The 27,659-nt window shown below is 43.3% G+C and overlaps 1 protein-coding gene and 1 long non-coding RNA gene across 10 annotated transcripts in view; both read right to left on the bottom strand.

Annotated features, from left to right (window-relative positions):
- MSRA (methionine sulfoxide reductase A) overlaps window positions 1-27,659 on the bottom strand; it is a 374,600-nt gene that overhangs the window by 267,275 nt on the left and 79,666 nt on the right. The window lies entirely within an intron of this gene.
- On the bottom strand, window positions 5,880-6,983 carry LOC124901886 (uncharacterized). Its single transcript, XR_007060816.1, has 2 exons — window positions 6,285-6,983; window positions 5,880-6,136 (listed from the first exon to the last, which is right to left on the bottom strand). It is a non-coding gene; the product is annotated as an uncharacterized LOC124901886 (long non-coding RNA).

Genomic DNA, 27,659 nt, shown 5'->3' with positions numbered 1-27,659 from the left:
TTCAGTATCACCATTTGTTGAGATTGTATAAAAGGAGGCAAAGGAGGCTCTCCTAAGAGACCAAAGCATTTCCCAAAATTGTTTTCTAGAAGAACAACTTAATTTTTTCCTTCTTCTTCACACCAACCAGTTCAAGCTGCATAAAACCTGCCCTACTTAGCGCTTCTATGGAAGGTTGGGCCTTTGCACAGGGTAAATCAAATTCAGCAGTGCTTGGGGACTCATCACCCAAGTACCTAATGAAGATAATCCATCAGCACTGCAGCAACTTTATTGTGCCATTCCTGCCCAAGGAAACAGCAAAAACAGCCAGGGGGTTGGGGGATAGCCACCAGGAATTAAATGGGGAAACAGATGATATTTAATTATATAAATATTCTCAGCAATGCTCTGAGGAATGGAATTATTGGCTTGCTGGGCAGCCCCTCATTGAACCAGGCGGCAAAGGAGATTTATACCACAGAGCTGATGTTTTCATTAGAATTCACACAGACCGTATTTAGAAAGTGGATATCTGGAAGCTTGATAATATTGTGTGTTCATAATCTGACACTGTAATATAGTGGCTTTAAAAAGAGGAGGGGAGGCTCTCGCCTTATTCATTTGATATTTACATTTTATTAGTGTTATTATTTGGCATAATTACAAAGAATTAGCAATGTTAATTAATGCTGCACTAATGCAGTCATAATTACTTGCATTTATTCTAGAACATAAGTAAATTTATAAATTTATTTATTTGGAACTCAAGTCACTTCTTGGATTCATGTTTTTTAAAAATGAAATCTCGGCCGGGTACGATGGCTCATGCCTGTAATCCCAGCACTTTGGGAGGCCAAGGGGTGTGGATCACGAGGTCAGGAGTTCAAGATCTGCCTGGCCAAGATGGTGAAATCCTGTCTCTACTAAAAATACAAAAATTAGCCAGGTGTGGTAGCAGTCACCTGTAATCCCAGCTACTCGGGAGGCTGAGGCAGAATTGCTTGAACCTGGGTGGCAGAGGTTGCAGTGAGAATAGGATCCTCCTGCTAAATTCATGAAACGGAAAAAATAAAACTGTTTTAAGGACGTGTCATGGATTCATCCTATCTATAGAGATCTATATAGATTTTTTTTTTTTTTTAGATGGAGTCTCGCTCTGTTGCCCAGGCTAGAGTGCGGTGGCACCATCTTGGCTCACTGCAACCTCTGCCTCCTGGGTTCAAACGATTCTCCGGCCTTAGCCTCCCAAGTAGCTGGGACTACAGGGGCCCACCACCACGCCTGGCTAATTTTTTGTGTTTTTAGTAGAGACGGAGTTTAACTGTGTTAGCCAGGATGGTCTTTGATCTCCTGACCTCGTGATCTGCCCACCTCAGCCTCCCAAAGTGCTGAGCAGGTGTGAGCCACTGTGCCTGGCCCCATCCTATCTATATTTCTAATCACCTGTTGGGGCTGTATGATTATCATTTTTAACCCACTTCCACTGTAATGAAGCTGAATTAAGTGGCCCGAGGGAAATTTCAAATGGACTTCTTTGCACATCTTCAACTGACAAAGTGTAAAAAATGAAAAGAAGAAAAGCACTTGATCTCAACACCCTGCTAAGAATTATATAGACCACTTTTCTAAAGGGTTTTTTAAAGATTTCATGTTATAAAAGTATCTTCCTGGGGAAAACCAAAGGAAACTTTATAAGTCGTTTCTTCCTAACTTAACAGACAAAATTCCAGTAAGAATTAATAATCCAAAATTAGGCATGTATCTCAAAAACATAAAAACCTGTAGGAACCACTTAAATGGGTTAGATATTTAGAGATTGTTTTCTATCACTGTACCTCTTCATGACATATGGTCCACCCACCATTTAAATCTAAACAGCATGTTAAGATTGTTGCTGGAAATGAAGACTTAAGAGATAATGCCAATCAAATTCTGCCTTACAAGAGGCAACCCCCTCCCCTCTCCCCACTGCAATACACAAAATTTACTTTACTAGAAAGCCTTGTAAAGTGCTTTGACAGAGATGTTATCCTGCAACAAATTTCAATAAAGTGAAGGAAATGTTGTTCTTTAACTGTATTCCATATTGAGTAAAAAACTGTACTTCCATGCATTTTTCTAAAAGGGCAAAAGCATCACAAAGCTCCAGAAGTAAGAGGTAAGCTCAAATATCCTAGTTTCCTCTCACTCTCCAACCTCAGCCATTCCCAGTTCTGGAGATACTGCTGATATATATTAACAATTCCCAAATGTCTGCCTCCAGCCCAGAGACCACTCCTGATCTCCTCTCTTGATAGTAAATGCAAACTCAACCCCTCCAGATCTGCACACACCACTCTCCACTACCCACCCTGCTCTGTCCCCTCTGTCAATGGATGGCCTCACGCAGGTGCCCAGGCAGGAAATGCAGTTTCAGCGCTCCCCAATCCTCACATCTGACCAATCACAAATTCTTACGGACAGTATTTCTAGATTCCCCTGTAATCCACTCACTTCTCACCATTCTTACTGCCACTACCTTGGCCTGTCTGCTGCCATCCATCATCTGGTATCTGGTAATCTGCCTGCACCTCTCTCATCCATCCTCTTTGATACGGTGACAGTGATCTTCCTAAAATCTAAATGAGATCATGCCATTTCATCCCTAAAACCCTCCAATGGCTATTGGTGAAATACAAATCAAAATTACAATGAGATAACATTTCACACGCAGTAGAGTGGCTATAATCAAAAACACAGACAACAGCAAGCGTTGGAGAGGATGTGGATAAACTGGAATCCTCTGCAGGTGGGACTGAAAAATAGCACACCTACTTTAGAAAACAGTGTGGAAGTTCCTCAAAATGTTAAATGCAGAGTCACCATATGACCCAGCAATTCCATTCCTAGATACATATCTAAGACAAAGGAAAACGTGTCTACACAAAAAAAACTGTACACAAATATTCACAGCATCATTATTCACAATAGACAAAAAGTAGAAACAACCCAAATGTCTGTCAACTGATGAATACATAAAATGTGGTGTCTCCATACAATTATGGATACATCCATGCAATGGAAGATGACCAGCAATCAAAGGGACTGAAGCACTGATGCATGCTACAACACAGATGAATCCTGAAAACTTATGCTAGTGAAAGAAGCCAATAGGCCACATATTATCTGATTCCACCTATGTAAAGTATCCAAAATTGACAAATCTATAGACACAGAAAGTAGATTATTGTGCCGATAGCTGGGGGAGTGTTGGGAAGAAGTGAGGAATGTCTGCTGACAGCTATGGGGCCTCTTTTTGAGGTAATGCAAACGTTTTAAAATTGACTGTGGTGATGGTTGCACAACTGTCTGACTGCAGTTCATACCCATTTGCTACGGTCTGAATGTTTACGTCCTCTTGAAGTCCAGATGTTGACATCTTTCCTCACAATGTGACAGTATTAGGAGGTGGAGCCTTGGGGGTTATTAGTCAGTCATGAGGATGGGGCCCTAATGGATGGGATTAGTGCCCTTATAAAAGAGGCCCTTCCAGCATGTGAGGACACCGTAAGAAGGTGCCATCTATGAAGCAGGAAGTGTGCCCTCATCAGACACCAAATCTGCTGGCTCCTTGATCTTGGACTTTCCACCTCCAGAACTGTGAGAAATTTATCTCTGTTGCATATAAGCCACCCAGTATATGGTATTCTGTTATAGTAGCCCAATGGAATAAGACACCATTGAACTGTACACATTAAATAGATGAATTGTACGGTATGTGAGTTATATGTCAATACAGCTGTTATTAAAAGATAGAGGGATGGAGAGAGGGAAGGGAAGAGAGAGACAGGGAGATGGGGAGAGAGAGAAAGAAGAAGAGGGCGGGCAGAGAGAGGGGGAGAGAGGCCTATCAGCAATTGCAATGTGTGAACCTTCTTTAGGTCCTGATTTGAACAAAGTATAAATGAGGGAAATTTGACTCTGACTCTCATATTTGATATTAAAGAACTATTATTATTATTATTTTAGAGTGTAAAAAACCTATGAGAACTTTCATTGCCCCTTACAAAGTTGGAAGCCCTAACATTGCCTACAGACCCCTAATAACCCAGCCCCTACTCCAGCCACCTCCCACTATCCCAAGCCCTCCTCATGCACCTCCACCCCCAGAACTTGCTTCTGCCACAGTAATCTTTTTAAAAATTCTTTGAAAATGTCATGCTATTTTAGTTTCCCAAATTAACTGAGATATCAACCAGACCAACCAATGATTATATTTGATAAGACTAAGGCCCTCAAATCACACCATCAGACAGTGAGAGAACTGGAAGCAGAAGCCAGGGTTCCTGAATCTCAGTACAAGTCCATTGCTAGTGTCTTCTTTTCACACTTAAACTCAAATACCATACATCAAGGGAGTGTTAACGAGATCTTTACTACCATGAATTTCCTTTAAAAATGTAATCCCATTAGAAACTATGTAAAATGGTTTATTTCCAGGCATACAGGTAGCATGATACTGGAGGATGAACATATAGGTAAATTAGAGTCAGAAAGAACTGGGTTTAAATTTCAAATCTACGATGTATTCACCACGCGGCCTTGCAAAAGCCACTTGTCATCCTGAGCCTGTCTCCTCCTGGTAATGTGGGGATGATGAAGAATGGAGAAGACTTAAATAAAAGCACAGCACAGTGCCAAGCACACAGTAGGTCTTCATAAATGACAGGTATTGTTATGCGCTCCCATGTTACTTTACTTACCATGGAAAGTCTATTTTGATTATAGACTTGACTAAGTAAAGAATCCAATTTCTAAAGAATGAAGCTAAAAAAAAAAAAAAAAAGGAATGAAGCTTATCGATACAGAACCAGAAGGCAATAAGTACAACTGCATGACTGGAAAATTCTATTCCATCACCACTGGTCAAAAGAAGTGAATCAGCATTCACATTTCTCTGGTAGGGGCAGTGGAGGAAGAATATGCTCATCTTGCAGAAACTATTTCCCACATGCCATCCTAGCACCATGTCTCTATGTGTCCATATGAAAAGAAGAGATTAATTTCTATGCCACTTAGTTTTACTTATTGTTTATTTTCAAAAATATCAAACCTACAGAAACAAACGATATAGCATTGAATACTGATAACTCTCCACCTACATTCACCAAGAATTAATATCTTCTCAAATCCCCTCTCTCTCATACACACACGTACACACACATGCTTTCCTTTTACCAAACTATCCAAAACTGGACTTAAGACCTTGTGAAATTTCACCCTAAGTAATCCAAAAGGCATCTCTCAAGAATAAACACCTTCTCCTATCCAGTCACACCTTTAAAAAAGGAAAGGGTGATTCAATACCATCATCCAACATACAGTCCACACTCACATTTCCCCGATTGTCTCAAAAATGTCCTTTATAGCCATTTTGTTTGTTTCGATATGGAATCCGACCAAGTTTCATTCACTGCAATTGGCTGTTATTTCTGCTTGGTCTCCCTAATCTGAAACAGTTCCTGCACTTAGCTCTGTACTTCATGACATTCTCCTTGGCAGCATCGAAGCCACTCTTCCCAGGGGCTTCAGGTATCCTCCTACCGCATCACATCAGGACTCCCACCATTAGTGACGCCAAACCTGACCACTTCATTAAGGTCACGGCCAATCTCTACATTGCAAAAGCACAGAGAATACTGTGCTAACATCAACAGCCTCTCATCCAATAGTTTTCACATCCATCCTGAATCAGTTGATTACATTAAGGTTATAACATGAGGAGTTTCTAATTCTCTAACTCCTTCTATATTTGTTATCTGGCATGTTCCTATAAAGCAGAGCTTTCCCCTCCCTGCTCCAGCCCAACTCTCATCACTGTGGACTCATATGGGTTTTTTTAATGTACTTATAATCCATGATCATTAATATTCTTTATTGATGTTCCAACCATCCCAAGTTTGACCAGTGAGAGACCATGTCAGCCAATGTCCTGGCAAGCCCTCAGCTCTCCTTCCATACTTCCTTGCTTTTGGTGCAATAAAGGATCTCAGGCTCGCCATTTCTCTCATGGTTTCTTCTAGTGGAAAGAGAAATTCAGAAACGAAGATCTGGGCATGAGAGATGCTCATAATGGCTGGGATGGCACAGCTTCTACGCTCTTCAGCTGATACAACTAGAAAAGTGAGAGAGAGAGAATGTGTGCGTATTGGGATGGCACAGCTTCTAGGCTCTTCAGTTGATACAACCACAACAGTGAGAGAGAGAGCGTGGGTGTATTTTAACATGACTTCATACTGATACTTTCAACTCAAATCCAGTACCTCACATTCCTCATATTTATGTCTCCTTCCACAGTGAAAATGTTGGTGTCCAACACATCAATTCACTTAGTTGCTCATTTACTCTCTCCTAAATAAACACAAAATAGTTTCAGAATGTCATCAATATCCCTACCGACATAAGCCTACTTAAAAAAGTTCAGTATTTCTTTATCCTTATTGTCGTCATTAGACTATATGTGGTGTGAGTATAACTTTTTAAATCTAGGACTCTGGCAAGCTTACAATAAAAAATTTTTAATGATTCTGTTAATCATAAAATAAGCTTGTTCTCTTAAAATGCGAATGCAAGGTAAAACCTATATATATATAAAATATATACACATTATCAAACTATTAAAAATTAGCTTTCCCATTAAATTTTACTGTACCTGTGGTATTTAAAAAGGTAATGTTAAGCTTCTGTAAATCAATATTAAAGAACATTTAAAAACTACACTTCCTTTTTCCATTAAAACAATAGATCACTATTTCCAAGAAAAAAAAATTAAAATCTTTTTCAATATACATGTGATTTTCTTTAAATGATCTTCATACAATTGATATATTTTATCTATACTTCAACATTATTTCACAAGAAAAAAGTAGAATTGTTTCATTTAAAATGGAAATTTATTCTTCCTATAAAACACAAACCTGGCTGGACGCGGTGGCTCATGCCTGTAATCCCAGCACTTTGGGAGGCCGAGGTGGGTGGATCACGAGGTCAGGTGATCAAGACCATCCTGACTAACACGGTGAAATCCTGTCTCTACTAAAAATACAAAAAATTAGTTGGGCGTGGTGGCGGGTGCCTGTAGTACCAGCTACTCAGGAGGCTGAGGCAGGAGAATGGCATGAACCTGGAAGGCAGAGCTTGCAGTGAGCCGAGATTGTGCCACTGCACTCCAGCCTGGGCGACAGAGCAAGACTCAGTCTCAAAAAAAAGAAAGAAAGAAAAGAAAAAAAAAACCACAAATGTGTCCTTCAGCCTTCCATCGTATTGAAGCAGTGAAGCCGATTTGGGTGCTACCTTATTGGGTAGCACCCCTGCCCTGCCGTAACCTTGGTAAGAACTGTAAGTATTTTTGATGGCTACTCTTCCGCAAGGTTTTCAAGCACGCGTGTCCACCACACAGATTCAGTGACTGCGTTTGACAAATTCCCATCCCTCAACAAGATCAGGCCTTTGCCACCCTTGCATTCTACTTTCAACAAATATACAATCTATATTATGGGTTAAGGATACCAGACTATTATTTCCTCTTCTCCACTGCTATCTATGATGGTACAGATTCCTGAAGCCAAGACCACATTGGTTTTGATTTAAACTTTGACCACAAGGCATTGAATATCCACATGAAAATTGTCAAATTTTGTCAAATACACCATTATGTTTATTTCTATATAATGTTAAACATTTGGATAATTTTTATTTAGTGATATCAGAGAGAGAGGCATCCTAAAGCCTGGATCCGAAATAAAAGGATTGAAATTAAGAATATGAGATTTGAAAACCAACTGCATGTTCTAGCTCTAGAATTTTTTTCTGAAGCTGTTGCACGGCTTCCTCCTCGAACATATTTCTTAACGTGATAGCGAACACTTTGTTATGAAGGGGGCAACATGGAAGAGCAGCCAGCGTACTTCATGGGTTTCTCAGACGGTGGGCGACACCCTCACCTGTGCTACCACTGCTGTCGCTTTGGGAAATGACCAATGTCAATATCCCTAACTGCCACCAAAAAAAGATCAGTGTATCTCTACCTCACCCAGTGACCTTATGCCACTGTCGGTCTTAAAATGGCAAAAAAAAAGGAAGGTAGAAAGCTGTCCTGAAGAAAGACGCTGGTGTGAGCATTCTCCTCCGAGGATAAAGACAACCAAATGTGAGGGAGTAAAAATAGGTCGGGTGGACCAGCAGGGAAAAGGAAGAAAGTATACAGCAGGCACGTGAGAGGGAGACAGGATGAGCCATCAGGAGGGAAAGGAAGGTGGAAGGCAAGGGGGAAAGAACAATTAACTGGAAGAAAGACAGGTTCCTTATTTCCCCACCTCATGCCTCATCCACATGCTCCCCCCAGACAACGGTCCAGCCAGGCCAACTTCTCAGCCATCTGCTGTCTATCCTTAATAAGCTTCACTCATTCCACTTTTGTAATTGTGGTGAAAGACACCTCATATTAAATTTACCATCGTAACCATTTCTAAGTGTACCGCTCAGTAGTGGTAAGTACATTCACACTGATGTACGATCAATCTCCAGCAATTTTTCACCTTGCAAAACTGAAACTCTGCATCCTTTAAACAGCAGCTCTTCATCCCCTCTTCTCCTCAGCCCCTGGAAATCACCGTTCTACCTTCTGTCTCTATGAATTTCACTACTCTAGGAACCTCGACTCAGTGGAATTACATAGTATGTGTCTGTTTGTGGCTGGCTGATTTCTCATAGCATCATGTCCTCAAGGTTCATCCCTGTTGTAGCAAGTGACAGAATTTCCTTCCTTTTTAAGGCTGAATACTATTCCATTGCACAGATAGACCACATTCTGTCTACCTGTTCACCTGTCAACGGGCACGTGGAGCTATTGTGAATACTGCTGCTGTGAACATGAAGTGTGCGTTACTCATTTTTAACAACCTCCTTCAGAATGGGCAGCGCTTCCTCTTTCTTCATATGATTTTTTGGGGGAAAAAAAGTACTTCTGTACTGAGCAAGAGATCCACAGAATCTAAAACAATGAAGAGAAATATTTGTTTCACTGATTCCCCAATCCACCTAGATACCCAAGACCTGATTTAGCTGAAGCTTCTAAATATCCATCCTGAAATCAGCCTTTCCTGGGGCTCTTAATTGCCTTGTGATTCAGATCTAGTGAGTCATCTTCCTGCCCAGGACACAAACAATGGGCAAAAAGAAGCTGACACACACTGGCTCTCGGTCTTAAAAATACCTCTTTATTACACATTCCCTCTGAGTCATAAAAACAAACTCCTTCTCTAGTAGATTTTACATTGGACATATTTATACTTTTATGACTCAATCCAATTTTATTTATATATACATACGTATACATGTGTTTATATATGTTTTTAGATACACACATATACATATATTTGCACACAGACAGTTTTGTTCTCTGTCTATACTTTTCAAGCTGAAGTCCAATTTGCTGATTTTTCAAGGGGATTTTCCACTGCAATACACACACAAATATATGTTCACAACTACATGTGATAAATTTGCCTGTGCAGTTAAGGGAGCCATGTTTCAGAGTGGAGGTGTGTACACATTGAAATAAGAAACTACTTCAGAAGCACCCTCAGTTTTCTTTTGAATAAAACAGACGCAATAAATTGGCCATCATAAACCAAGGAAATAAGGGTCAGGTGGTGAGACACTGACCTTCTAAAACTGTGCTAAACATTTCAAGTCACTTAAAAAGGCCAGGTAACCTTTTAAATGACCTTGGCCTTTACTAAAGGGTGGAGACATGGCCTTCTCATCAAGTGACACACGCAGAATAAGAAATAAGATTGGCAGGTTCATCTTCCCAGTCTAAATAATCTCACCATCGCTTTCCTTCAAAGATTCTAAATTTCAGCCAGACTTGTGCCTTGACCCAACCCAAGCACTCAACGCCCTTTCTCCTGCTAGAATGTTCTCTTTGTTTTGTTTTGTTTTTGAGACACAGTCTCACTCTGTCGCCCAGGCTGGAGTGCAGTGGCGCGATCTGGGCTCACTGCAAGCTCCGCCTCCCGGGTTCACACCATTCTCCTGGCTCAGCCTCCCGAGTAGCTGGGACTACAGGCACCTGCCAACACGCCCGGCTAATTTTTTATTTTTTGTATTTTTAGTAGAGACGGGGTTTCACCATGTTAGCCAGGATGGTCTCGATATCCTGACCTCATGATCCGCCCACCTCAGCCTCCCAAAATGCTGGGATGACAGGCGTGAGCCACCACGCCCGGCCTGCTGTTCTCTATTTCCTGTCCCTTCCTCTCTAAATCCTTTCCACTGACTAAGCTTCCTACAGGAAGCCCTTATTTTTTTTTTTTTTTTTTTTTTTTTTTGAGACAGACTCTCGCTCTGTCACCCAGGCTGGAATGCAGTGGTGCAGTCTTGGCTCACTGCGCCTCCCCAGGAAGGTGAAGCTCCTGGTGAGCTCGGCTCACCTCCACCTCCCCAGGAAGCCCTTCTTGATACCCTCCACAAGTAGGCATGGATCCTCCCTCCCCTAACCTCCTCCTTTACGGATCCCAACTAGATAGAGGGTATGTTGTGAATTATCACCATGCCTCATCCCCACCCCCCCATCACTGCCCACCTGACACACACATGCATGCACCAGCCTCTGCTCCATAAAATCAATACCACCAGTGGTGTCCAGGGAGCGACACGGGTCTGTCCACGCCACACCTTACTGATATATAAAATGAGAGATCCCTGTCTTGCTTCCCACTCCACAGGTTCAAGAGCAGCAGAAACGATGCTGGAAAGGGATGCAACTGGGCAGTGCAGGGAAGGGACATGCAGGAGCTGAAGAGAAAAGGCTGTGCTTTTTAATCCTGCGCGCTTGTCACACACGGGAAAGAACAGGCTTCAGAACACGGGACAGAACAGGCCGGCTGTTTTCATATAAGTCAAATTACCGAGTCAGACAGAAAAACAAACCCACAGATATCTGTCAATCAAACGAGGCCATAATTGCTATGTGAGGCTGCTTTTTTTTGTTGTTTGTTTCTGTAGATTTGAGGTCATATATTAACACATTAATTGGCATTTTGGTCATAATTATCGTGTAGTAAGCCGTTGATTACATGGTTGCATTTTGAAATTTTTAATTGGTTTGTTTCAATTGATAAAAGGTAATTTGTTCGGGGATGATGTTTAGAGTTATGTATTTAATATCACTGAATAGATAATTAATATAATGCAGCAATAGTAAACAATGACTATGGTAATTATCATCGAAGTGCACATATTTGTACAAATATGACAGACTGATTTTCTCTCTCGAGTTGTGTTGGTCTCTGCTCAGAGCCGGTGCACTGTGTCACTTTATTCATAGATGTAATTAGCAGCATCTCTCTCACCCACTTCCTTCAATTTGAAAAGAGCCGAGAATATAGGACAAAGGACATCCTAGAAGCCACGAGGCACTGTACTTTTCCCTCACTGCCGATTACCCCCTTAGAACTTCTCTGCATTTTCAGTCAGCTCTCGGCATTCCTGTAGTTTCAACTGAACCTTTTTATTAAAGTGTTCCTGGGTCATTAGGACACTTTTTCCCCAATCCAACAGAGCAACTGCAATCCCAGTGTAAGAAAGCCTCCCTTGGTGGTTTAACTAAATTCAGGAGGAAAAAACAGCACTTACCAGCAACTATTTGTAAATTGACAGATAAAGTTGGCCAAAAAAAAAAAAAAAAAACCACCTTAGTGTTTATAAAATCTGCTCTCCGGGAGCTCAGAGCGCTGTGCCCTACAGCACAAATATACCGTCCCATGTGCCACAAACTAGTGCTTCTCAAATATTAGTCATTTCCATACCACCTTTGTGGTTTCTGCCAACTGTGCTATTATTTACGTATTTCATGGAAACCACTATATGTACATGCATTTATTTTCTAAAGAGAACTCCATACCACCACTACAAATGGACAGCCTGTGACTGTCCACAGACAGAAGGTAGACACACAATTAATACAGTGAAAACCAAACAATGTTATTAAAACGTTAGCCTGCCCAATGTTTCCCTTCTCTCTCTGCAAAAAGGGGAAATTGGCAAGTATCACGAGGTGGCGATGTAAGTTGTAATAAGGTGCGACCTTCTCCCTTCAATCAGCACAGGCCCTGGAGGGGCCTGGGCAGGGAGGGCAGCAGGACAGAAGTTGCATAAAGAATTTCTCAGCCGGGCGCGGTGGCTCACGCCTGTAACCCCAGCACTTTGGGAGGCCGAGGCGGGCGGATCACCTGAGGTCGCGGAGTTTGAGACCAGCCTGGTCAACACAGTGAAACCCCATCTCTACTAAAAATACAAAAACTTAGCTGGGCATGGTGGTGGGCACCTGTAATCCCAGATACTTGGGAGGCTGAGGCAGGAGAATTGCTTGAACCCGGGAGGCGGAAGTTGCAGTGAGCCGAGACTGTGCCATTGCACTCCAGCCCAGGCGACGAGAGCAAAACTACGAATAAAAAAAAAAAAAAAAGTTAGCCAGGTGTGGTGGCATGTGCCTATAATCCTACCTACTTGGGAGGCTGAGGCAAGACAATCACTGGAACCTGGGAGGCAGAGGTTACACTGAGCCAAGACTGAACCATTGCACCCAGCCTGGGCGACAGAGTGACACTATGTCTCAAAAAAAAAAAAAAAAATTTACCAGCGACACACACAATCGCCAGATCCTCCACCCCTCACTCGGACTCATCGGAGTTGTCCTACCTTCTCCAGTTCTGCATGTCTTTAATTACTTCTCAACAAGTTATGATTTTTTTTTTTTTTGAGACAGAGTTTCCTTTTTTTTTTTTTTTGCGACAGGGTCTCACTCTTTCACCCAGGATAGAGTGCAGTAATGAGATCTTGGCTCACTGCAGCCCTGACCTCCTGGGTTCAAGCAATCCTCCTGCCTCGGCCTCCCAAAATGATTACTTGTTAAATATAACTAAATTCCCGTTTTTTTTTTTTTAAGATGAAGTCTCACTCTCTTGCCCAGGCTGAAGTGCAATGGTGCGATCTCAGTTCACTGCAACCTCTGCCTCCCAGGTTCAAGAGATTCTCCTGCCTCAGACTCCCAAGCGGCTGGAATTGCAGATGTGCACCACCATGCCTGGCTAATTTTTGTATTTTTAGTAGAGATGGGGTTTCATCATGTTGGCCAGGCTGGGCTGGAACTCTTGACCTCAAGTGATCTGCCTGCCTCAGCCTCCAAAGTGCTGGGATTACAGGCATGAGCCACCGTGCCTGGCCTAAATTCCTATTCCTAATTTTAAAAACAACATTTTCCCTTTCTCATAAAAAAAAAAAAAAGAAAAACTCTTCAGCCCTGATCTAAAAATTAAAGCAGGGTGCATTATATGAAGGGATACATTTTAACATACTTCTGAATGGATCACATTAGTTAAGAAGGTTCATCCCACCCATCCTTGCGTTTCCAGAAATAGAATATTATCTGTAACTCTTATCTAAAAAGATGTCTCCTTTCCGGCTGCAGAGCCGAGAGGAGCCCTTTCTGCCCACTGCCTCCGAGTGCTCGCTTTGCCAGGCTGGGGTCTCACGTCAGCCCCACGGCTGTGCCCGCAATGGAGTCACTTTGGACTGTGGCCAAGTGCACAGGTACGGGCAGCAACACCTCAAACCATGGGAGACTCGCTTCCCCTTTCCGGTCCCTCTAAAGTCGTTTTCCCGCTCTTTGGAGTTTCGCATCAGTCTGAGGAACACGGTTGTTGTGGTCCGGGGTCTCTGCACTGCTCAGAGTCGAAGGGCGGTGAACTCGCTGGAGTGACAGTCCAGAGAAACGGTGACCTGTCTCCGAGCCCCTGGGACGTGGGGGGTGCCACAGATGCTAGGAGAATGCAGGAATCCTCCAGGCAGCATGGGCTTCCCTGCCTGTGAGCTGGTGGTTGAGCACCCTTCTCGTTACAGCCTTTCCATGCAGATGGCCATGCCAAGAGCAGTGCCAGGCATCAAGAGGTGGCAGACTGTCCCCAGGACAGCCCCATGGCCCCTGCCTCCTGTTCTCATGCCCTGTGTGACCCCTTCTACCCTGTACACGGTTGGTTGGCGTCACCCGTAGGAGACAGAGTGTGTCACTTCCCAGGCAGGGTTATATAAAGACACTGTGACTTTCACTCATTCCTGGACCACACGCCTTGGGAGAAGTCAGCCACTACGTTGTGAGGACATGGGGACAGAGGTGGTGAGGCCTACGTGGTGAAGGTCTGAGGCCTCCTGCCAACAGCTGATGACTGAGCTGCTGCGGAAGCTGACCCTCCACACTCCCTAGGCTCGGTGGCCAGCCCCTTTGCTGGGGTCAGAGCCACATTCCCATCTTGCTCCAGGATGGATCGCCGGTTCCTTGAATCCAACACATGCAACACTGAGCATGTCACATCCTCCAGGCCTGCTCCTTCTCATCTACTCTGGCTCAAACCTGAGGACCCGTCAGACCCTCTCTCCCACTCGTGCCACATCCAGACAGCACCGGGCCCTGCTGACATTCTGCTCTCTGTGTCCCTTACATTTGTCACCTGATTTCGACTCTCACTGCAACCGGCACTCATCTGTACCTGGGAAGGGCCACCTCGCCTCTGCCGGTAACCCAACAAGGCCCCAGCTGGCGTCCCAGCTTCCAGAAACCATCTACCACAGGTCTGTGAGTAGCTTTTTAAACAATAGTGTGAATGTGCCAAGACCCTACTTTAAAACTTCCAATGGCTCCCTTTTGCAAATAGGTTTTGCAAACCTTTCAGCAAGCCCTTCCAGGCTAAGATAAAGCCCCACCTCTCCTTCCAGCTGAACGCTATGTCCAGCGTCTGCTCCAGCCCAGGGCTCCTAAGGAGGCTCAGACCAGCGCCACGCCCAGAAAGTGTGATTTCATCAGTATGCAGCAGTATTTTTTTTTAAAATAACACCTTCACTGAGATATAATTCACATACCATACAACTGACCCATTTAAAGTATACAATCCGATGGCTTTTAGTCTATTCAGAAAGTTGTACAACCGCCGCCACATTCCATTTCAGAACACTGTCATCACCCCCAAAATACCCCTGGTACCTGCATCCAGCCACTCCTAGTTTCCTCGAAACCCCCAGCCCTCGGCCCTCAGCAGCCACTCACCTGCTTCCTGTGTCTGGATTTCAGGCAGCAGCTGTTTTACTCACAGTTCTCTACCGATGCAAGAGCATCCCAGGGAGAGAACCTCTGGCCAGACGAGACCTCACCCTGCTTTTGCTCACAGTTTCACCCTTCTGGGGATGTCTTTCTTTTATTTCTGTGTTTAAAATTCTACCCACACTGCAAAGTACACTTCAAATACAACCTCCTCCATTAAACCTTCACTCTCTCTTCTCTTCCTCAGTTTACTCTAACATCACCCAAATAGCTAGGGGAAAAAAAACCCAAAGCAAATATGGGTTCTTCCTTTACGATCGCACCATTCTTTGCTGCTCTAGGGTTATGTGGTCATGCTTGTTTTGTTCTGGTCCAAACCACACACTCCTGGACAGCAGGAACCATTTCTAACTCAGCTCTGAATCTGCAGTGACTACAGCGCACTGTTTGCATGTAGTAGGTACTGAAAGTATATACTCCAAATACATAAATATACGGTCTGTTTACAAATTTTCTCCACTGTTACAGATTTCAAATTGGAGGACACGCTCCCGTCCTCTCCACCCACACCAAATCCTTGTTTTTTTCCCTTAATAATAGTAATGATGAAACAATGATATTGAATAAGCTTTCAAGTTACAATGCCAAAATCATTACACACACACACACACGTGCAGATGCGGGTGTATGTACATCTGTGTGTGTATGTGTGTAATTTTTAAATTTTCACTGCAGTGAGCCAGGACAGTTATACAATAAGCCATGTATAATTATTAATCCACCATCATTCGGGAGGCACCATGTCTTACACATTTCAGGGAAACCACTTGCCAAGAATAATTTTTATATTGAAGGATTTTGAAAGTGAACAGGTCACAGGGTCACATCATCAGAATGTATAAACATCAAAAGTACAAGAAGGCCACCCGCCCCGTGGATGGAGTGCTCACAAACACGCCTCTTCAGAGGATGCCTGCTTGCAGGGCCGGGCAGTAGAAAATGAATTATGCAGGCGGCAAGCAACCTAAAAAATCAGATGGTACACTCTTCAGGCTAAAACACAGCCTGAATCAACAAGCGAGATGCTGCCTTAACATGGATTAAACACACTTGAAAATCATATACGGTCATTTCACAAAGAGCCTTATCTAACCGAAATGTCTTATTCCATCCTTTATCAGTTGGCCTTTCTTTTCTAATGCAAAGCTATTCTTCGTATGAATTATTTTATTCCTATTGTTTGTCTTAAGGAAGGAAAAGCTGATCCCCACATAGAACAGGTGCTCCGATCGGACGGTTCTCGCCTCGCACTGCATAGGCCCTGCCTGTCCCTGGAGTTTGACTCAGCTCCGCCAGTGAAAAATTAGACTTCATTTCAGTATGCTAATAGCAATCTCTCCAAAACAATGTAATCAAGGCCTCATGTGCACCTATAATTTCATCCTTGACATAAGCCTGACAGCTATTTATTGTCTGAAAGGAAAAGCAGGGAGAGGCGGGGGGAGGGGAAAGGAGACTCCTACATGCCCCCTCCCCCAAAACGAGCCCAGCAGCTTTATGTTTGAAGGCAGAGTCTTTGCAAAGTCCAAAAAAATGGCAATAATCATGGGGTTTACATGTGTCTTGTCTTAAGCAATCAAGGCACAGAGTTAACAGAGAAGCACAGTCAGATGTGCCAATCCCCCAACTGCCCACCTCTGATGAGCCAGCTGTGAGCCGCAATTGTCACATTATAATTTAGGCAAAGAGAAAAAAAAAGGCATGAGATACACACTGGATCAACATAATTATTCACAGCAGGATGCTGCAGAATTAATTTAGCCAATCAGAATTATACTTGGGGGTTGGGCACATTGCAGAGATCAAGGAAAAAAAGCAGGGAGAGGGAAGGGGGAGGAGGGGGGGAAGCGCTGTTTTCAACACCTTACTGGTATTTGGATAATCTGATCTTGAATATATTTTGAATACATGTACGTGCAATGTTGGTTCTGTTTCATCTATTTACAAACACCTATACAACACTGATGGCGTGCCAGTCACCAGTCTAAGCGCTTCACAAATATTAACTTACGTCATCCTCACGGACTCTGAGGTAGGTACTACTATTACGCTGGTTTTAGGTACTGAAACTCAGAGAGGTTCAAAAACTTGCCAAGGTCACACACCTAGGAGGTGGCAGAGCCAAACACTGAACCCAGGCAGACTGGCTCCAGAGGCTATTAACAAGCATGGCTTAACAGTTCTCGCTCCTAAACAAAGCAATTTGCAATATGAAGACACACTACGACTAGCGATATGCACCTAACCTAGAACATGGCACCACGAGACTTCACCGCTCCTATGTTCCTTTAACCTGACTTTCCTAAAGATGGTGGCGATCCGGCCCTGCTAAATCCGGTCACTATACTATAGGGTTGTTCACTTCCCTGTCTGGGTACTGTTACCACCAGACTTCACAAATGGGAAAAGCAAGCCACCATCCCACGAGCCTCACGAGGCTCTGTGATTCACCACAGAACATCCTCAACAGGAGTGGCGTCTTGGTCTCCCCTGCTTCTTGACACGGACTTCCTATAGAAAAGCAGCAGACAAGAATCTACAAAATCGATGAGAAAGAAAGAAAAAGTCGGCTGCTCCAAGAATAAGAATAAGGTTTGAGGAAGAGTTAGAGGTCACATTAAAACAACTTTTTGTCTGGATATGTATCTGAAGAGTCAGGTTTGCAGTGACGCAAAATGGTGCTTGCCCTTCCCATGGGCACAGGGTGATTGGAAACGAAAGTGGCCCTCTTGCTTGGAATTCTGTCATGAGGGTAGATATCAGAGGAGCCAGAAGGAGCCCTGATTTCCTTGCAAAAGTTAGACTTCAGCTTGCATTTGCTGCTTCTGGTAACGGGGAAAATGACAGGGAGCGACCCGGGGTTTTATGTCTGGCAATAATGTTTGATCTATGCCATTGTCGATGAGAACTGCGATTTAATCCATAAGGATATAGAGCCTCGTGATGAAAGGGGAATAACGACAAATCCTGATTAACAATCGCTGCGACACTAAAGCAGGTTACCATAGTAACGGGGCTGAAATTATACAACAAACTGGGATGCCATACCAGGCAAATTACTCCGTGAAGGGACCCTTTTCTGAAAGCATTTGGCTTTCTGTGTTCTCTTAAAATTAAGATGCCAGCATTTTACTTTCAACGGGTATCAGCCTCCCTCTCTTTTTTCTAAACACTCCCTCTTCACTTGGTCTCGGGTGATGTGAGGGATAAGTACATGTGCACAGGAAATGCAGCAAACAATTAAGCACATTTCAGCTCCTCTTTCCCCGTGAAAGAAGAGGACAAACCAAAACGACGGTGCAGGGAATCCTCCTTTCATCCCATTCTTTGGATAAAAATTACGCTTAATTCTTTGATGGAGGGAACTGGGGAAGTCAAAGCATGCCCCAGTGAAATCTTCTACTTCTTACTCCACATAACAAAGTTATCTGGATTTATGGGGAAATGGAGCAAAATAAAGGATCAGGGTGGGAACTGGGAAAAGGAAGGTGCTTTCTTTGTTCTGAAGAATGTTTAATTTTCAATTAGAGTTTTTGGAAATAAAAACATGGTTTAAAGTATTATTTTCTAATAGTTACTCAAAATAATTTCAAAAACCAGGCAATAAGTGAATCTGCATTGGAAAACATCACTTTAAAACTATTATGGCTATTATCGCAACTGACTTTGGCAGTTCCTTTACAAAATAGATCTTATCAAATAGTCCGGGAAAAATCTACTACATTTAAGCATCACACTCACTGTCTTCTTTCAATTGCAGAGGACATTAAAAACAAACAGAAGTCAGAGTTGTAAATAACCTCCTAAAGAGACTAAAGATTGGAGGGAAGGTTAAAGAAATTCAGACACTGCAGATATTTAATATTCCTCCTTCCAGGAGAGGGGAAAAATCAGAGCTTCACCTTTGTCAGAAATGCTACTGCTCTGAAAACCACATTTCCCTAGAGATTGATCCATGGCTTTCCACTTAAACCACTGAAGGGCAGTGCAGCCTAGAGGACAGAACACGGATTTAGAAGCAGAAGCCCTCAGGTGCCATCTCCATCACTTGCCAGCTCTAAGACCGCAGTCCAGACAGTCCTCTGGGTCTTGGTTTCCTCTCCTGGAAAATGGGAATCCTATTACCTACCTCGTTGGCCTAGAGAAGTTTCTGAGATAACTAGGGAAACACTGTACATAAGGGCCAGGCACGGTGGCTCATGCCTGTAATCCCAGGAGTTTGGGAGGTCAAGGTGGGTGGATCACCTGAGGTCGGGAGTTGCAGACCAGCCTGACCAACATGGAGAAACCCCGTCTCTACTAAAAACACAAAATTAGCTGGCCGTGGTGGCAAAGGCCTGTAATCCCAGCTACTCGGCAGTCTGAGACAGGAGAATCGCTTGAACCCAGGAGGCAGAGGTTGCGGTGAGCCAAGATCGCGCCATTGCACTCCAGACTGGGAAACAAGTGCGAAACTCCATCTCCAAACAAACAAACAAAAAAATCCTGAAAATTGGGAGAGTACTGATGGTTAAACAACTGCTAAATCTCGTGATCCAGTCATCAACATTGACTGAGTGCCTACTACCAGCTAGGCACAGTGCAACCACGGTAATCCTAGAACCCCATTTTCACCTGGCAAAAAACCTGCTGCCAAGTTTTGTCTCTAGCAAATTCTTATTGGCATTTTATGCCAGGTCAAAAGAAGAAAGCAAACTAAATTAAAACAAAAAAAAAAAAAGCAGGCATTTGTCAAGAGGTGAGTTCCTTCACTCTGGTCCCATTTATCTGTGTATCTTTCAGAGGTCTACTACAGCATTGACTGCATTAAAATTAGGATACAAATTATGTGCACAGCAGAAGCCAGAAGGCTGGGATGTGACTCCATGCATGCTTAGCTCTAAGGCTTCTGTGTGTTCTCTGAGTGGGTTTCTTTGTCTCTGCCATAACTATCCCCGCACTTCTAGTGGTTAGATGAAGCAGGAGGGGAGATGGCTGGGCCTGTGTGGGTGACAATGTATGTCTTGTGCATTGGAGTGCGTTTTCCTTTCTGGTGCCAGGCTTCTTGGGTTCAAACCTCAACTCATCCTTGATCAGTTGTGTGCTATCACACAAGTCATGGAAACTTTTCTAGGTCTGCTTCCTCACCTCTGAAGTGGGGAAATGGCAGTTGCACAGGCCTCCCGACGGTGATGTGAGGATTATAAGGCGTGAGGGGCGAGGCACACAGAACCAGGCCTGGCACAGGGTAAGCACTCAGTATAACGTCCACTCCCATTTCTGTGGGTGTTCAGAACCCAGGGTCTACGCTGGTGGCCAGTGGATGACAGATGAATTTCCTTTGGTGAGCGCAGGGTTTGTTGGATTTGAGTGCCTTTGGACAGAACAGGCCCTCTACAACTCACTGCATCTGCCCATCACCTTTTCTTATGTTACACCAGTATTTGCACAGCCCCCAAAAAGGACTTCCGTTTGCCTGCCTTGCATATATTCATCTTTAGGTGTATGGCTCGTTTTGTCTGTGTCTCACTCTGAGTCCTTGATTTTTTTTCTTTATTACTGTGAAGTCTCCGAGTGTGTCTGTGTCTGTGATCTTTCTCTTTCCTTCTCTTTTTCATCCTCAATCACTCATTTCTATTTTTAGCCATTAGATAGATTTATGTCCCTGTTCTTATTTTTTTAAAGCAAAGTAGAACGTACTTCTCTCTTAAAGGAGTTAAGCTTCTTTTTAGTCAGTTGATCTTGACTCATTTTTCCTGTGCACTGGTAACTTCTGATAGAAAATGTGCTCTCTCCATCCCTGCTGCAGAAAAATCCAAATTATAAAATAGAGAAACCGAGAAATTATGCATATTACACAACAGTTCATGTAGGGGTTGTATGTTTGTTCATTTGCTTGTAATATCAGGCCCTTGGTATGCTAAAACGTGAATTTATTATAGGCCATCAAATTCCAAATCTCGTAGATCAAGGTAAAGCTAAACATTTATGGCAAATGCCTGAAATGTGAAAACCAATCAAAAATAAAAATAGGAAATCTTTGTAAAGCTATGCAAATGATGGGGTTCAGGACATGCTACCTGAAAATATGGCACTGTGGCATTCAAGAAAGCAGCAGAAGCAGGAAGGCTACTCTATGCCCTTTTCCTGCCCTTCTCCCCTATGGCAGGTCATAAGATTCTCATTGGTGAAGTGCCCTCCCTGTAACTGGAGGAAGGAACAACCACATCTATGAATACACAGGGACACAGAGAAGAATCAGAACCAACAGGACTTGCTGAGTATCCCTCTGTTTATCACCATTAGCTCACTCCTCCTTTGTCTAATCACACCACACTCCTCCACATCTGTCCTCTCTTCATCAAACCTAAGCATACAATACACAGGTTTCCCTGTTTCCCTCGCTCTTCATTTCGGAAGGCTCCCGTGTCGCAGAAAACTTGCATCAGATAAATGTATACTTTTTTCCTGTTCATCTGTCTTTTGCTATAGATGACTCAGCCAGAAACCCAGCGATGGGTAAGAACAGAAATCTTCTCTCCCCTACACAAATAAAATATGGGCACTTTACACACAACACTGAGGAAAACAATCCTTCTCTACTTCTTACACTCAGGACACTTTCAGCAACACCTGTGCCAATCACTATTCACAATAGCAAGGATATAGAAATAACCTCAATGTCCACCACCAGATGACTGGATAAAGAAAATGTGGTGTATATACATATACATACATACAGTGGACTACTACTCAGCCAAGAAAAAGAATGAAATCAAGCAATATGAATAGAACTGGTGGCCATTATCTTAAGTGAAATAACTCAGAAACAAAGTCAAAGACTGTATGTTCTCACATGTAAGTGGCAGCCAAATAATGTGTATACATGGACATAGAGAGTGTAAAAACAGATATCGGGGACTTGGGAGGGTGGAAGCAGGATGAGGGATGAGAAATTGCTTAATGGATACAATGCACACTGTTTGGGTGACGGCTACAGTAAAGCCCAGGCTTCACCACTACGCAACAGATCCATGTAACAAAACTGCACTTGTCCCCCGCCCCCGAATTTAGTATAAAAAATAAGTGAAAATAAAGATCATGAGAAGTGGTTTAAAACATGCTATTTTTAAAACAAGAATCATTTAAAATTAAGAATATTGCTTTATCATTCCAATATTCAAATCAGTGCTTTTATTATTCACAGATTACATGTTCTTAAAATAGATTAGCAAATCTGGCCCACTTTACATCATAACATTCTCAGATTCTTTCTGATGAAATATCAACAGTGAAAAATTCACAAAACATCAGAAACTCAAACCTCAGTATTCTTCGGCATTTTCCACTCAAATACAAGAAATTCAAATTGATCCTTCTAATGGGATAGTAATGAAAGCCTTTAAAATAACAGAATCTTAGATCTCAAAAGAACAGACTGGCCTAATGTAACACCCAACACAGAGGTCTACTCCTCAGGGACTGAGACTGACAGCACCCAGCCTCTACCTGTGTATTTCTGGGGACAAGGAGCTCTAGGGCCACCTGTTTCTGGTAGCTAGCTCTGCTGCTGTGAGTCTTGCTGCTGCTGCTGCTGCTATCATTTTAAGAGTGAATCCAAATCACTCTCACGGAATTTTCCACCCTTTGGCCTTAGTTCTGCACTAGCACAGTTGTACTAAGATAAGGGGAGTGGTTTTGCAAGTGGCTTTTACCCAGATAAAATTGTGAAATAAATCAACAGCGAGCAACCTCTTTTTCCAAGGATGATTCAGGAAGAAAAAAATAAATGTGTTTAGAGTCTTCTATTCCATTCAAAATGCAAATAACTTAATTTAGTCCCATGGGAAAATAGGAAATATTCTTGCAATTCAGATCACCCACTACATTGAATAAAAGAATGTCACTGAAAAGACTGACATATTTGAGAAGTAGAGACATGAAAGCAGCCGTCTTATTTCTTATCCTGGCAAAGGAACAAAGAATGTATTTTGAAAACTGGTGGGCTGTGTGTGTCCCGTGGGCCAGAATGCTCAACATCGAAGTTGCAGCAAGATTCTGCCCTGCCTTGGGCCTCCCTTTCTTCTCCTTCTCCCTTCACTGTGACATCCACACCGTGTCCCGCGGCTCCCACACCCTCCCATCTTCAAGCTTTTCTGTAGATAGCACCTTTTTCTTTAGATAGCACCTTTATTGAAACCAGCTGACACCAATGAATTACCTCTCAAAGAGATATCCATTTTAAAATCTTTCACCTCTATCTGTACTGCACAGGGATACATCCCAGTCACGCCTCTCTCAACATTCTCCAATTTACCACCCATCACTGAACAAAACAATCCAGAAAGAGTCTGACCAGCTCCAAGAAGCCAAGGCTCTTATTTCATCTATATACGCCTGTGACCCAGTGAAATGAGCACTAAACTAAGTCACATTCCAATCCCTGCTGCCTTATGCATTACCTGTGTGCTCTTGATCATGGTACTAATCTCCCTGATCTTCAGTTTCCTTCTATGAAAAATACAGACACTAGAGATAATGCCTTTGCGGTCTCTTCTTCAGGGTCAAATAAAACAATGTATAAAAACATGCCTCTACAGTAATAAAACTTTGTATTTACTTAAGGGATCCCTATAGCTATATAATTAACGTATTAACATAATGGTTTTCAAGTTTCAGGGGGTTACCTGGAAGGGGCAGGGCAGGCACCCATCCAGGCTCTAAGCTCCTTATACCTCCCCAGTCACCACTCCCACTGCCCACTTTGTGCACAAGGTCCCAAATCAGAACACTGTTAGGAAGTGGGGTCTCCCACTTTAGACAAGTTTGAAAACCACAGCATTCGCTATTTTAGCTGCAACATCACATGACTGATTCCTACTAAGCTTATGGTCAGTTCTTTCTAATGGGTTAGTTCGTTTGTTATAGAAGCCCTTTTCATTGAATTCTCTTATTTCCCAGTATACCACAATCTTGGAATGAAACAGGGCACAGAATAAGGAAATAAATACCGATTCCAGGTGTATATTTGAGGCAGCCTACTTTGCTTGCTCTCAAAGAAAGCAGTTAACAACTTGTGAAAGTGGAAAGAACCTTTCAGATGATGGCCGTGAAAAATGGCAGGCACCAAGACGTTCCTAAGTCAAACAAAACCATAAAACCATTCCTGTACTTGATTACACAAATGCAGAAAACCAATTTTTTAAAATATGCTTTTAAGTCGAGAAATAAAAGCAGAAATGCTATTTTTGAAAACTCACGTCAAAATAAAGAAGGCTCCAATGATGATTTGCTGGGCGAGCCACCCATCGTCCCAGCAAAGCAGACGAGCTTTGTTCTGTTAAATGTGTGCCCTCTTCAGAACACAACAAGGATCTGAGGATGGAAGCGAATTTTTGTCTCAGGCCAACGCACATCACAGGTTACTGCAGAATTCGACAAAAATATATATTTGATCTATCTATATGGTAAAGAGGCTAACAGTCTTTTTGGGCCCATGACGACAATGACTAGAGAGGTGTTTGACAGACTATTTGCCGTCCATGCTGGACAGACAGCAGGGTGGACACTGAGTACAGGGATGTGGAGAGAAGAAGACACAAGTTCTAATTTTACAAAGACACACCAAGAATGGGGAAGGAGAGGGCAAGACACACAGTCACAGGTGAAACCCCCAACAGCAATGAAGTGTGTCCTGCAAGGAGGGGACCCGACATTGAACCCCTGACCCCGAGTGGGCTCCTGCCTTGCCTCAGGGCAGCTGTGATGATGCTACTGCAGAAGCTTCTGGAAGGCCTGCATCTAACCAGTATCCCTTGACGTAAAGGCTCTCGTTCCCACTGTGTCAAAAGAGATATGCTACAATGTACAGGCCCACACTTGTGATTTTTCAAAGTGCTATAAATTTAAAAATGAGGACAAGTCCATAGCTCCTGTCAAGACATATGATTCCATACGGCTACTGGTTATCTGCACTTTTTAATCTTGTGGGCTCCCGAGCTGGGACTTGTTTCTTGCGTACGAGAGAGGAATGGTGGCTCCAAGGAGCTCAGAGCTTGCTAGGCTCAGGGTGAACAAAGCTGTGTAACATGAACGAGACCTTCTGAGAGGAAAGGCAATGTTAGGCCTTGAACACCAAACCCTTTCTCCCCAGAAGTCCGATAGCAGAAGCTAGTTGAGATAGATAAGGACGCCCTCCTCTACCATGTGGCTGAATGCCTGGCTCCCTTCACCAATGTGCCTCTCTGCACCGCAGAGCTCCTCTCTGCCCGGGGTCCCTGTGCCCAGCGTGACTGCAAGCCCTTATCACTTAGTTGACTTCTAAGTTACAGCCCATGTGTTACTCACTTTCATGGCCTAAAATTTAAAATGGATAGAATACAGTGTTCCAGATGCCACACAGGCCTAAGTCCCAGCCTCACAGTCAGCCCTAACTCACCCGACATGCAGGTCCCCTCACCTCATGGGGCCTACTTCTATTAAACAACCACAGTGCAACACGCAGCCCCCAAGGATCCTTCTGGATCTTCAGTTCTGTGATTATTAGATAAAGCATCTGAGGATTCTACCTTTCTGCATGGTTCGTTATGCCTCTGTGAAAAGACCCACGTGTCTGTAGGCCTGTGAAACACTTTGGGGATGTCTCAACAAAATTCCAGAACTGCGTCTGCCAGTTTGCGTATATGCAAACATGTGCTGGGCTGAACCACTTGGAATTACCGATATTTGGCTCTCTTTGCCCATAAAAATGGCAATTTCATATGGGTCAACCTAAGTATATTTAGCATAGGGGCACGCGAATGCACAGAATGTTGCTTTCATCTTATATTCAGCTGGTGTGCATGTTATATGCTTGGGATCATGAACCATACCTTTGCCTGACCATAGTATAAATTTAAGTGTCATCATGTATATTAAATACCTAATATAATACCTGGCACATTAGTCATTATCCCAATATTATGAATTGAAGTCATTAATATTACTCGTTGGTAACTTTACTTCCACTGTTTTTCAGCACAATAAAATGACTTCTTCCTCTCTTATATAAAACAGAGCAAAAGAGCATTTTAGGTAGAATGGAACTGGCAAAACTCTCTCATGCCAAGTAAACTGGGATTTCTTTTGTCACCTTAGAGATTTAGGTTTCAACGGCAAAAACACCGAATGACTTTCTCCTCACCACTCTGCCTCTCTATAAAATAGGCAACCCCCAATGTCACAGAGGGCATGGCCTGAAAAGTGGGGAACCACGGCAGGTATTGCTTATATAGGACTTTTTACAAAGAAATAAAGAATTGTGTATTACAAGAGTGAAATAGAAATGCTGATGACAAAGTGTCAAGTTCTAAAATGACAGTGCCTCTCTCATTGATCTTTGACCAGTATCATTCCTACACCAGCTTCCTCTTCACCTTAAAGTAAAGCTGAGGTCAGATATTACACAAAATGTTAATGTGATTGAGAGATTTACAAATTCACATTCCTCCGTTGGTTCCCTTAGCAACAGCTCTAGCTTTTACAGCCCACCTAGGCTACACAACAAACACTCCGGGGCAAGAGCTCTTTGGGACTGATTTCTTAGAAACCCTACCTTGCAGTCAGAACACAGCTTGTAAAACAACATTTAAACAGAAAATGCAACGGCATGTTTAATCAAAGACTTAAAGATATACTTCAACCAAGCGTTTGGTCTAGTTGCTCTGTTCTGCCATAGGAGAAGACTGCCCTCCTAGACATTTCACTAATACCTCTCTAAAGCAGTCGGACTGTTTCCTGTCACCACCAGGCTTCCGAGTTCTGATACGAGGCGTGCAGTCATGCCTGGTCTGCCGTCCACAGAATGACCACAGGTCACGGGTAAACTTAGACTCGAGCCTGTGCCGCAGGATGAATCCCTTGGCCGAAGGGTCCTGCAGCAGGAGCACATGCTGACAGTGCCTTGGTATGTGAGACAGGCATGGATGTGCCCCACGGTCACCGTGTTTGGGAGCAACACCGGCACAGGGATAAACTGAAACCCCCATTGCGAAGCAGCTAATGGGGCAGGACAGGCACGTATCTGCAGTCTGTCTGCTGCCTCTACATGAGCTCAGCACTGAGAATGTCAAGTGTTGTGCTGTGTTTCCAAACGGTAAACACCCAGAAGCTGGAGGCTTCTTTTTTCCCATTGTCTTACGTGGTAATAGCAACCAACGTGCTCATGGAATATCATGACACTTCCAGTGAAACAATAGAAAGGTGCAGAGAGTGAACACAGGAGGTCGGATGGCACGAGAAAGGCATTTCATAATTTATCACCACAGAAATTCCTTTAAGATAGGATCCAGGCCGGGCACAGTGGCTCACACCTGTAATCCCAGCACTTTGGAAGGCTGAGGTGGGCAGATCGCCTGAGGTCAGGAGTTGGGAGACCAGGCTGGCCAAGGTGGTGAAACCCCTTCTCTACTAAAAATACAAAAATTAGCCAGGCATGGTGGCAGGTGCCTGTAATCCCAGCTAC

The sequence above is a fragment of the Homo sapiens genome, chromosome 8, assembly GCF_000001405.40.
Source record: "Homo sapiens chromosome 8, GRCh38.p14 Primary Assembly".
Lineage (NCBI taxonomy): Eukaryota > Metazoa > Chordata > Mammalia > Primates > Hominidae > Homo > Homo sapiens.
This window is presented reverse-complemented; position numbering and strand designations above follow the sequence as displayed.